At 37.9% G+C, this 13,248-nt stretch overlaps 1 protein-coding gene across 6 annotated transcripts in view; it reads right to left on the minus strand.

Moving 5' to 3' along the window:
* Window positions 1–13,248, minus strand: part of MAGI1 (membrane associated guanylate kinase, WW and PDZ domain containing 1) — a 685,393-nt gene that overhangs the window by 114,998 nt on the left and 557,147 nt on the right. For 3 of the 6 annotated variants that reach the window (NM_001033057.2, NM_015520.2, NM_004742.3), the window contains exons 4-5: window positions 10,069–10,275; window positions 1,760–1,961 (exon numbers count right to left, since the gene is read on the minus strand). In NM_001033057.2, coding sequence (NP_001028229.1) covers window positions 1,760–1,961; window positions 10,069–10,275 — 409 coding nt within the window. Of the gene's footprint in view, window positions 1–1,759; window positions 1,965–10,068; window positions 10,276–13,248 lie in introns of all 6 variants that reach the window. The other 3 variants (NM_001365904.2, NM_001365903.2, NM_001365905.1) reach the window with 1 other exon arrangement.

Genomic DNA, 13,248 nt, shown 5'->3' on the forward strand with positions numbered 1-13,248 from the left:
CACCACCATACCTGGCTAATTTTTGTATTTTTAAATAGAGATGGAGTTTCGCCATGTTGGCCAGGCTGGTCTAGAGTTCATGACTTCAGGTGATCTGCCTGCCTTGGCCTCCCAAAATGCTGAGATTACAGGCGTGAGCCACTGCACCCGGCTGTCAAAGAGGGTGTTCTGAGTTCCAAGCCTTTTCTCTAACTCTCATATGTTTAGAAAAATCATACTACCTAATTTTCATTGTTTTTTCTAATTATAAAACATATGCTAAGTATGTCATGCTTGGTGACTCACACCTGTAATCCCAGCGCTTTGGGAGGCTGAGGCAGGAGGATCACTTAAGCCTGGGAGATAGAGGCTGCAGTGAGCTATGATCATGCTACTGCACTCTAGCCCAGGCAATACAGTGAGGCCCCATCTCAGGAAGGGAAACAATAAATAAATAAATAAATAAATAAATAAATAAATAAATAAATGTGTGTATACACACACACACAAAGTATAAAAAATTCACAACGCATATCAATGAAAAATGTGGTTAGAAAGTAAGTTATTTACTTAACTCAAACCCAACTGTTAATAGATACTTCTAGAACTTTCTGTGCCTAGAACTTGATCTACATATTAACAGAAACAAATGCTCACAGAGAATAGATGTAGGATATGTGTGTATACATGTATAATTTGCAAAATTGAGATCCTTCTCATAGTTTTCTGCAATGTCCTCCCCTTCGTTATTGTTGACTTAACAGTAGATCAGTTTCAATCTATACGAGTATAACAGATGAATCTGTGGTATTTTTTTTAAATTTAATCAGCCATTTTCTTTTTCTTTCTCAGTGGTACATTAAAACATGGTGAATCTCAATGATAGGATAATAAAGTCAAAATACTGCATTTAAAAACTGACTACTGTTGGTTAGGAAAACCACATTATCTTAGATTTTCCAGAATGGTTTCAAATGTCGGCTTTTTTTTTTCCTTTTCAGAAAAGCTAGTATTTACATTTTATAAATCTGAAAGACTTTCCTGTCTCTCTGTTCTCAAACCTAATTCATACACCTTGCACCATGGAAAAATATTAACTTGCGCATTACAGACCTAAACACAAAATGTAAAAAATGAAAATATTTACGACTCTGTGTTAGGCAAAGATTTCCTAGCTACTACAGCAAAAGCACAATTGACTAAAAAGAAAACTGATAAATGAGACTTTATCAAAATTAAGATTTTGATGGAGACAATGAACAGAAAAGCCAGACTTAGAGAAAATGCATACAAATCACATATATGATAAAGGAATTATATCCAGAATATATGAAGAAGTCTTAAAACAATAAGGACACTGTAGTTCAATTAAGAAAAAAAAGCAATATATTTATTTTTAATATATTTATTTTTAAATATATTTAAATATTTATAAATATATTTAAATATTTATTAAAATATTTAAATATATAAAAATATATTTATTTTTAATGGTTAAATATGCTCTTTGAATATTATGTCATAATTTCTATATACCATAATTTAGTTGTCTAAACCTTTAGGGAAATGATTAACCTTATGCTTCCTCAAACTGTTGAGAATCGATAAGTTGGTAATAATTAATTACCTTTTTATGCAAAACTTATTAAACCTTATTAAAAAATACCATCAGTGGGTGATCAATCCCTTAAATGTAATTTACATTGGCAACTGCTAGACAGAGGGAAGGAAGGGAAAAGAAAGAGAGAGAGATTTAGGTAGAAATAATGGTATACTTTACTCTATAAAATAGACTTCTCCATTTTCAGTATAGGCCATCTCCCAGTTTTCAGGTAGAGGACCTAAATTATCCTCTGCAGAAAGAGGTAGGTATTGAGGGAACTTCTGAGAAGGGTCCGTGATGGGAGCAGCGATGATGCTACTATTCACAGGTGGTAATGCTGTTTCTTGGAGAGTGTGCTCCTCTTGTTCACCAGAATCGGCTGCTTAATCATGTGAAGAGGTGAGAGAGAGAGAGAGAGAAAAAAAAAAAATGGTATTCAGCAATCATACCCCATACCCGGGAAGTATGCAACTATACACATCTATATTCTTAAATGCTCTTATCCTTTCCTAATTCCTGGCCATTAACTATTACTTCGATTTCATTTAGATGTCTGTGCCTTAATTAGAAAGCATCGAAATGATCAATGAAATTTATTTTACTTAAAAAGAAGGGGGAAAAAATCCCAAGTAATGCATTGCTCACAATCTTGGAAATGTCAAAGAAGAAACCAATTCATGACTCAAACTCTTAAACTAAGAAGGCCATCAAAACACAGATGGATCTGCACCCTCATTCCATAGGTATCATTTGATTTCATTAGTCAGAAGATGTTTGGGCACAAAAAAGTATCCAGGGTGAAAACACAGACACAGTGGCATTACTGTCCACTCTTGTATAAACGATTTTATAAGTTATTTTTATATTTGTATAAATATTTTTGGTAGACACTGGCAAAGATCAAAGAATGGTTAATTAAGCTGAAACGTATACAAAAGTTTAGAATATGGAGAGAGCTATACCAGTGAGTCAGATTGGAACCTCTTTTGAAAAAGTTATGTTCCTGTGAAAACCAAGAGTTACCCCCAGAACAGTATCATGTGGGTGGACTGATATGACTTGAGTCTTAAAAGAAGGCTCGAAATACTTGAGTCTCCTTGCCTTCTTATTAACTAGAAACATCAGGGGTGATGTCATCAAAGTATCCCCGAATGGCATTATTGACATTCTGGTTGAATTTTTATAGAGGCCGATGATATTAAATGTCAATCTCCACAGGGCTTTAAAACTGAATAATCAGGGTATGTAGTGAATTTCTATCTCCCACAGTAATTCTGTAGACATTTCTGATTTAGCAAAAACAGAGTGAAGAATGATAAAAGGCTGTTTTCAAAGCTTTCTCTGATGAGAAGCTCCCAATGACACACATGAGAGTAAAGGTAATCTGAAAGCTGGATGGAAGACATGCCAAGCCTACTAAACTAACACCACCACCACCAATAATCTACCACCCTTGAGGAGGCTGCCTGTAGGTATTCCCAGCCCTGCATCTATTTGCTCTTCTCCTGCTAGCACCACTCAGGTATCCTTGTGGTGCCCCTCCCCACTCCAGGTCCACATGGTCCAGGACGGGACCTACTCCTGGCTCTACATCATACTCCTTGCCAATCAGGAGTATTCTATCATTTTTGTCTTTGTTATTAGGTCAGGAATAGGTACATGATCTAAGGCAAACAAATTTGAATGTCAGACATGGAAGATTTACTGGAACCATGAAGCCAGAGGTGGTCGCTTGAGGCTGGAGCCTGTTTGCTAATAGGTTCTCATGCTGCAGGTGCTGGAGCCATCTTGACAAAGCTTGACATGACCTGCCAGAGAATTAAGTCCACACAGAGGAAAGGAGAGGTGAAAGATGAAGAAAGTCATCTAATATCACTGACTGAGCCTCTGATCTCTGATTTCATACTTGAAATCAAGGATGTCCCTCATTTTGTTTGCTTGAACCCCCAAATTCACTTTCCTGCTTAAACCAATTTGAGTTAGTTTTGCAACTTGCACCCAAGAGTGCAGATTAATAGATCAACTATAAGTAAGGGAACAGAAAGGAATTAGGCCAACATAGAAGAAAAATTTAGAAATTACTAATCAATAACAAAATAAATTCAAAACCCGGCAAGAATTAAAGGAGTCACCTTTAATTCTCTAGAAGCCAACAAAGATTCATTTCTGGCATATCTTTGGAAGGTAGACTTTTCACACTTAAGTGCATAAAAGAATCACCTGGAGAGATTGTTAAAATGCATATTTCTGGCTCTGTCCTCCAGGAAACAGGTTTGGGGTAAGGTTCCAAAATGTACACTTTTTAAGTACCCAGGTGATGAATATTCAGGTGGTATAATAACTACATTTTAAAGACAAAGACACTAAGAGTTCTCCCATGAACTAAAAGAAAAAATGATGTAGAAAACCAATTGTTTAAAAAGTTCTAATTTCAGTTGGGAATTACTCTACCTGCTTCTTGGTTTGAACCTGTCATTTTCCAGAATCACCAGGACCTCCAGCTCTTAGGACAGGTGTTGCCCTGCCGCCAATGAGCAGAGAGTGGTGCAGTCTCTGGCTACACACTCCTCCGTGCACCAGTGCCAGGCCAGAGATGCAAATGAGACGTGTAGAGAGTGGGTCTAGGCTGAAGGGAGCTGGGCACTCAGTGCCAGACAGTTTGTGCCCTGGAGGAGAGTGGACTTGGGGTTGCCAAACTTCTGATTTTTCAAGACAAGTTGGAAATCTGTATTTTTATGTAAAATCTCCCAAGTTTTCAATCTTAATTTCTTTAAAAAATAATGCAGTATGACATCAGTGAAAAATGAAAGGTCATGATTACGGACACTGACCCTGGAGCCACACTATCCGAGTTTGAATCCTGGCTTTACCATTTACTGATGTGGGCAAAGTACTTAACCTTGTGTGCCTTCACTTGCTTATCTGGAAAATGGGGACAAAAACAATCTCTACTTCACGGGGTTGTGGGGAGGATTAAATGGATAAGGCGCTTAGAATAGTGTCTAGCACATAGTGAGCCATAGTAGGTAGTTGCCAGCAGCAAAAGTACCTCTATCTTCATCAAAATTATGATTAATTTTGTCTTCAGGCCAGACCTGTCCCCCAGCCTGCAAATACATTACAAATAGGTAGAAGAAGGATAGGTTATAACATCAAACCACAGATTATAGTCTTGTCTGCTTCTAGCTGTGTGGCTTTAACTTTCTGAGCACATATTTCTCGATCTGTAAAATGGGCATAATGTACATGGCATAAGAACAGAATTAACACATGCAAAGTGCCTGGCACCTGGGGCATGCTCAATGGGTGCTTGGGACTGAGACCTCTTATTGCAACTACAACTGTCCAAACTCGGTGACAGCCTTTTCAATTAGGAGGCAGTAAACTGTTAGGATGATAAGGAGAAAGAATAATTTCATTTGAAAATTTTAATTAACCTATTTTAATAGAAACTGGATATAACAGGAAAAGGGTAGTGCCACTACATATGAAATGAGATGCACTCAATTTAACGCTGAGTGTCTACATGTTTACAAAAAAAAAAAAAAAAAAAAAAGTCCTGCCAATGTTCCCAGACAATGCGTGAAGATGGAATATTAGCTCTCTGGGAAAATCTCTTAGTAATTTTAATTTCCTGGAGGAAAAAAAAAAATCCCTTCAGCAACGAGATCTTACTTTAAATTATCCAAGTATTTGTTTTTATTTTATATGCTTTCCATATCTTCTTCTCAGCTCAACAGAATCTGAATCTCATTCTCTGAAAGAAAATGGAAAGTCCAAAAATGAGCTGCTGGCACAGACACACGGCAGACTCAAGAATTCACAGCCTTAGTCATGGTTTTGACTCTGACACATGCTGTGATTTCAAAAAAATCTTTTGTTGGGCATGGTGGCATGTGCCTGTAATCCTAGCTATTTAGGAGGCTGAGGAAGGAGGAGTGCTTGAGCCCAGGAGTTAGACACCAGTCTAGGCAACATAGTGAGACCACATATCTACAAAAAATTAAAAATTAGCCGGGTGTAGTGGCACGTGTCCATAGTCTCAGTTACTGGGGAGGCTGAGGTGGGAGAATCACTTTAACCTGGGAGGTTGAAGCTGCAGTGAGCTGTGATTGAGCCACTGCACTCCAGCCTGGGTCACAGAACGAGACCCTGTCTCAAACAAACAAACAAAACCTTTCATTTAATTTACCAAAGATTTAGGAGCACAGCCACCACTTTCTTACTAAAGGTTACCAGTGAATCCAAAGAGGACAGGTAGAATGGAATACTGGAACAAGATGGAATGGGGAGACAGGGAACCTGGTTTTCCCATTGTTCAGTGGTGTAACAGGTACACAGTCCTTCAGGGTTCTCATCTGCAAAACTGGGAAGTTAATATATGGATTGCTTCTCTCTCAAGATTTTCAGGAGGTTTATGGAATACACATAAAAATCGTTTGTAAAACAGAAACGAACATGAATGACATTTTTATTAATAGTAAATCAGAAGCTTCCAAGCTTTTATACACACACACACACACACACATGCACACTCACTCACTCTTGGGGACTTTTCAAGGTGACTTCAACAACATAAGCCAAGTCAAAGAAGATTTCTGAAGCTCGTTTTAAATTATACATGCTTTTAGGTTTATGTGTATCTCCCACTGTGTACAACCAATCATGATCTCTGAGGCTCCATAAAGCTGATGAACTTGATTTAAAACACAAATAGCATACTAGGTGTGCACTCAGGCTGTGGAATCAGACTTTCTGGGTTGCAGTGGCAGCTCTGACCCTCCCTCACCAGTTTTGCGATACTGGACAAGGTATTTGACCTCCCTGGTATATGCATAAAGAACTCAGCAAAGTGCTTGCCATATAGTCCATACTTGAGAAACATTAGCTCTTATAGAAATGATTATCTCTTAACTTTCCAAAGCAATGCTTTATCACTCTCTACCAACAAAAAAGAAGTGTCAGCAACCTAATGTTTAAGAATATCAGGGATTATTGGGAAAAAAAAAAGCCTAGAAACATGATTAAGAAATGTTTTGATGTCTCTCAGAGGTGTTCATGAATGAATCTGTTACTTTTTAGTTGTGGTGATTTGTTACACATTTTCTTTCTTCTTTCTTTTTTTTGAGATGGAGTTTCACTCTGTCACCCAGGCTGGAGTACAATGGTGCAGCCTCGGCTCACTGCAACCTCTGCCTCCGGGGTTCAAGTGATTCTCCTGCCTTGGCCTCCTGAGTAGCTTGTATTACAGGCACCCACCACCATACTCAGCTAATTTTTGTATTTTTAGTAGAGATGGAGTTTTACCATGTTGGCCAGGCTGGTCTTGAACTCCTGACCTCAGGTGATCTGCCCGCCTCAGTTTCCCAAAGTGCTGGGATTACAGGCATGTAATCCTTGTTACACACTTTCTAAGTTGTCTCTAATAAACACAATATTTTTGCAAAAGTCTTTGTTTGTGTATATATCTGTGCTTTGGCCAACAGTCTAACTCTACCTTCATTAAGCCCACATAGGAAGTGTTCTTTCTCAAGGGCTCTTTTTAGGTCAATAATTTGGGCACAATTTGTAGAAGACTGTCCCATTGCTTTGTGTTCACAGTCAGTTCCATGGTGAGCATCTGGGATGACTGCTCACTGTTCAGCTTCTGCCTTAATCAATGACTGCAGAAAGGAGGGGTGGGCTGCCTTCCCAGATGCTTCTGGCCAATAGGCTCCTTGATCTTTTGTCTGCACAGTCCCAACGTTACTTAGGCGTCTTAGTGAGACATACCTTCTTCAAAACACTCAAGCAAAAGGCAGCTAAGATAGAAACAGCAGCAAGTTATTAAAAATATCCTGGTAAATATAATATTTAATGGCTTCATAATATTTCTACATTTTGATATGATGCTCATGCCTTTATCATAGCTGGCCCAAGCAGAAGCCGACACCTCATTATGCCACTGTCACTTTACGTGCAAACTGGCTGGTGGATTCCTATTTAATGTGGTTCAGAACACAAAATGCTTTGATACCACTAGTTTCACATACTTATGGACTGGGTAGTGTTAATTATTTGAAAGATTTAGCATGAGTTAGTGTATGACAGATTGTCAGCTGTCGCAGGTACACTGTTGTAAGTGAGGGGACAGTCAACGTGCTCCATACATTGTGAAGAGGTCCCATCACGTGCATATCTCAAGGCCACTTTTTCCTCAGTGCACCCTATTGGCCTTCTTGGTATCAGACAAGAACGTGAGGAACACAATCAGGTGTCACTTGGCTTTCTGTTTTGTGTGGAAACTAATCATCAGACTGATTTTGGCCATGATGATCTGGGCCCACAAGTTGTTCTAAGATGCCAGGATTTCAAGTGGGGATTTTATGAGGTCAGATTTTCTGAGGCATGGCTTCTAGAGAGAGAGATTGATAGTAGTTAGAAACAGGAAATTGCATCTAGACTTACAGTAAACTACCTCTACTTTGTTCCTTCTTTCTACCAAAAAATCTATTTAATAAATAGAGGACAAATACAGGCACACAAGCTTCTTGGGGACCACCCAATCTGCTTGGCAGAACTGTTTTGCCGCACACTACCCCCAAAGTCTTCTGTTTCTGTGACCACAACTATGGTTTAGGTTATACCATGATTTGCTATTCTTATTTATCAAAATATCAAGGCATTAAAGTATGAGATTTTTTGAAAGAAATGTTAACATGTTTCATGATCTGTTTTCATTTTGGTAAGGGCCACTATAAACAGATGAAAGATTCCTAAATGAATGAAAACAGCTGATTTCAATTAAAACATAGGTACAAGGTGGCAAATTTCTTCTAGATATTACAACTATTGGGCAGGCACTGGCCTAACCCATTCTAATTGAGAAAACAGAAATTTTCATGGAGTCAAATTCATACAGCTAAAAGGGGAAACTCAGACATGATCCAATCCTAGCGAGTCATTTTACATATGGATGAGTTAGGCATAATGTTTCTAAAAAGACAACTACCAAGAGCCAAGCCAGGGTAACAAACAAATCTCCTCTGTCTTTACCTAACACTTCTTGCACAGATGTTTGGCTATCCTACTGCTATGACAATAAACTCATCCAAAAAATTTTATTTCCATTTGATAAATTTTAGTCCTCTGAGCTTAGCTAATAAATTTTAAAAAACCTAAGTGAGGCCCATACAGGTTGCAAACAGCATTCATAAATAACAAACTTTTCCTAAATATTCTGTTAGAGTTGGTAGCACAGGGGAAAACAGTCCACTCATCTCCACCTTCATTGGAGCTGATGCTAATCAAACAATGACCAAAGTATAATAATGTGAGAAAAGGCCACTATGGGAGAGGATAATCTCATATGTTGAAAACGGATAACTTATTCATGGCTATAACTCTAAAATATTAAAGGCAATATTTAAGTACAATAACAACAGAAGAAACAAGGTGTTCGTCTAATCCACAACACTGTAGACTGAAGTTACTCCTATCTTACTCAGCTGTTACATTTGGAGTTACTATGTAAGGTCAAATCTTCATATAGTAAAAAATATTCTTGAGCTCTTCTGGGTCACTGCACTAACCCAAGGAACACGCAACATTATTATTATTATTATTATTTTTTTTTTTTTATTTATATTTTTTGAGACAGAGTCTTGTTCTGTCACCCACACTAGAGTGCAGTGGTGCAATCTCGGCTCACTGCAATCTTTGCCCTTCAGGGAACACACATCATACCCTGCAAATGGTACCCCCTGGAGTTGTGCAGTACTCAGCCTGTATGGCCTTACCCAAAGGCCTTGTCCTTGAAAATCCCTTCATAAAATACAACATACCTAAGCTCGGAGGTAGACAGCCCTGAATATAGATAAAATATATATAATATAGTCAGTAATACATAGGCTATATAATATAGAATGCATATATAGATATAATGTTAGAATTTTACTTTTCCATCTTTCTCCCTTTTAAGGCATATAACAATTTTGCGTAAGTTAACTGAACACATAATATCCTTCCATTATATCTCTGCTTTCAAAGATATAAGAGGATGCTGCTGGCCTTCTATACAGCATCAACTGACATTAAACTGATAAAACACATTCTCATATTTTGCTTCATAGCAACCAGCCATAATGATAGAGATGCTGCAAGTTACCCCCCCCAAAAAAAATCAATGAACAAAATACAGATATTTATATACATATATCATTTTGAAGAGAAAGAAACCATGCTGATTTCTCGTTTGCCTTCTTCATACATTCACCCCCAGCTCCTTTAAGGTATTCTGATGAAGTTAAAATATTCTTGTAAAGGGGCATGAAAAGAAGACCAGGGAAAGGACCATCTCTTCTGCAAGCACTGTGTGGTCCAAGTTTGAATTTTGGCGACTCTACAAAATCCCTCCTGAGAACAGCATCCTTTTCAAAACTCTATGCAAAAGCCTCCTCGTCATCCCTTCCCCAGGTCCATTGAGGGCAACATGATCTGACCTTTACCTGTAAAGCTGCTGTTCATTTCAGGAACGTCATCCTCCTCCTCATTCTCCGCGTGGACTATGCCAGCATTTTGCATATCATTGTAGGACTTGGTTCGCTTCGGGGTCGACTGCTTAGAGCCAGACTGAAGGCTGTGCAAGGCATCCGTCGTGATCACTTTCCCACTGACTGGCTGGCTAGGAGGCTTGGGTGTCCCATAATAGTTTCCTAGGTGATGGAGAGACACATTTGCATGTTTCAAAAGGAATACTTTGTGTTTTTTTTTAAGACTTCACATCCAAATCTCTAGGCACATTAAAAAAAAAATTAAACTAGAAAACCAGAACAAACTGTATTTTATTTCTGGAGTGGGTTAGAAGAGATATCTTTCCTATCCAGCTAGACACAGTAATTTCAGATGGGAAGAGGAAAGCTGTATTGTTTTAGTGCAAACAACCTACTAGGGCTAAAAACAAAGGAGGCTATGCTGAATAGTAAACCTTCCTCCTCATTACATTTGAATATCAATTGGTCATCTTTTTACATATATGCACCAGCATAATGCTGAATCCAATTTAGAGCAAGCCTCACAGAAGATTAAAAAATTCATTACTGCCGGCATCCTTACAGGCCTAAAAAGTTGAGGTCACTTTCCCTTAATAAGGGGACTCGTCAAGAGGGAACCAGGGCAATATTTAAAAAGGAGGACAGTAAACCCCACGTGGCGCCTCTTTAGCTGAATGGCAGGCTTGACTCTCAGAGTCATGCGGGGTAGGAAAAAACCCTTGCCAAGCTTTAACAGAAAACCCTGTGTCAATGGTGGCACCCAGTATGGGTCACTCTTCCAGTAGTGGCCCATCTTCACTTTCAGCCACTCTTTCCCAGTTTGATTTAGGTCCCACTATAGTGTGCTATGTGACTCTCACTTGTACATAAATAGATTTTTACATTTTAATTTTTTTATTTTAATAGATACATATATTTTTAATTTGCCATAGAGAAATCTCACTGGTAAGTTATGATACCAATATAAAGTTTGCCTTTAGAATTTAAGAAAAAAAGCAATACTTTAAAAAATTGACTTATTTTTCACTTAAAGTTTAAAAAGACAGTTTTATATAATAAGAAATTAATCAGCTGAATACATAATAGGGATGGTAGTAATAAGAGTTTCCTTTTGAAAAGTTAAAAAGTAAGCTATTTTTTTAAAGTTATTTTAAAGATAACATTAAATAAATAATACATGTTCTCATATGAACAAAATCACAAAGGGTGGTTCATCAAGATCAAAGTTTGAAAAACACAGTTGATAATCAATAATATTCAGCGGCTACATAATAAAAGACATCAACCTTAGAATGCCATCGATCCATTTACCACTTCACATCTTTTAGAGTAAGGCCAGGAAGACAGGAAATGATTCTGAGATGCTGGATCAATCCTAACTAATGTTTGTAATTCTATGCTTAGTAAAACAGAATTTGTAAATAATAATAAATCCTGTACACACTGTATCTTCCTAAGGATCCAACCCCATTGTCTAACCTCAGTACATAGTTACATAACAAACACATTTTATTACACAAGCACCAAAAAAAAAAAAAACACAAAAAACCACAAAAGGAGACGGTAATAGCCTGGTCTCCGTGAGACATACAGATAATAAAGAATTTGCTTCTCAGCAGGGTACAGTGGATCATGCCTCTAATACCAGCACATTGGGAGGCTGAGGCGGGCTAACCACATGAGCTCAGAAGTTCAAGACCAGCCTGGGCAACATGGTAAAATCCTGTCTCTAAAAAATATACAAAAATTAGCCAGGCTTGGTGGTACTCTCCTGTAGTCCCAGCTACTTGGGGGTGCTGAAGAGGGAAGGATTTCTTAAGCCTGGGAAGTCAAGGATACAGTAAGCAGAGATCGTGGTACTGCACTCCAGCCTGGGTGAAAGAACTAGATCCTATCTCAAAAAAAAAAAAATTGCTTCTATCAGGCTTTATTCTTATAAATAAGGTTTCTTTTTTTTTTTTTTTTTTGAGATGGAGTCTTGCTGCATCACCCAGGCTGGAGTGCAATGGCACGATCTCGGCTCACTGCAACCTTCACCTCCCAGGTTCAAGCGATTCTCCAGTCTCAGCCTCCCAAGTAGCTGGAACTATAGGCATGCACCACCACGCCTGGCTAACTTTTTTGTATTTTTAGTAGAGACGGGATTTCACCATGTTGGCCAGGTTGGTCTGGAACTCCTGACCTGAGGTGATCCACCTGCCTCAGCCTCCCAAAATGCTGGGATTACAGGCATGAGCCACCATGCCTGGCCAATAAGGTTTCTTTTTTAAGATAAAAAGTTTTAAAATTTTTTAAAATGTTTTTTGAATCATCAAAATTTATAGAGATACACACCCACTTTCTTTGAGAGGAGTGTAATAGTCTGTATCAGCAGGAAAACTCAACATACACATTTTTTTAAATGCAGTACATGAAAGAGCATCACGTTCAAATTTGAAGGGTGCCAGGTAGAAACCTGATACGCACATTCTGGTGGCTTATACTCAACTCAATCATTCAAGTGTTTTCATAGGAAGTAATCTATCCTTATCTTCAAAAATCTTCTTTCAGGTTTCCAACTTACAGGCGCTAGAATTGAGTCGAATCAGCTTGAAGAAAGGCATTCCACATGTGTCTTTAGGGGCTAACACTTGAGCAAAGAAGAAATTAGCACGTGTCAAACAAGAAATGCACTTAATCTTGCATTTCTACAGTGGTTGTATCAAAGGATGTCTCATGCCTTCATTGAAGGTGTAAGTAACTAGGCCAAACTGTTAACTTTCTCATTAACTGAAGACTCTTTAGTGAAGTTTAGGAAAGTATGATGGTTAACTATTTTAAAAATAATCTGCATAGTGAGAAAAAAAGGAGAGAGACAAAGCTCTAATGAATTTAATTTTCATTCCTTAATCATTATTATATCACGACATCATGTACATTTTCAAGTTAGATGTTAAATTAAGGCCAATGTCTATAAATAAGAAACTTCTACTGAAAGATGTGGAACCCCTCCCTCGTAATTTTTATATGCATAATTTCCTAACCATATCACTCAGTTTCAGTGCCATTAAACTGAAGTAGCATTCATAAAATTATTAATCATTTAAAATCAATGAAAACTTCAACATCTGCATTTATGGCAGAAATAATAAGTGC

The sequence above is a fragment of the Homo sapiens genome, chromosome 3 (genome assembly GCF_000001405.40).
Source record: "Homo sapiens chromosome 3, GRCh38.p14 Primary Assembly".
In the NCBI taxonomy this organism is placed as follows: domain Eukaryota; kingdom Metazoa; phylum Chordata; class Mammalia; order Primates; family Hominidae; genus Homo; species Homo sapiens.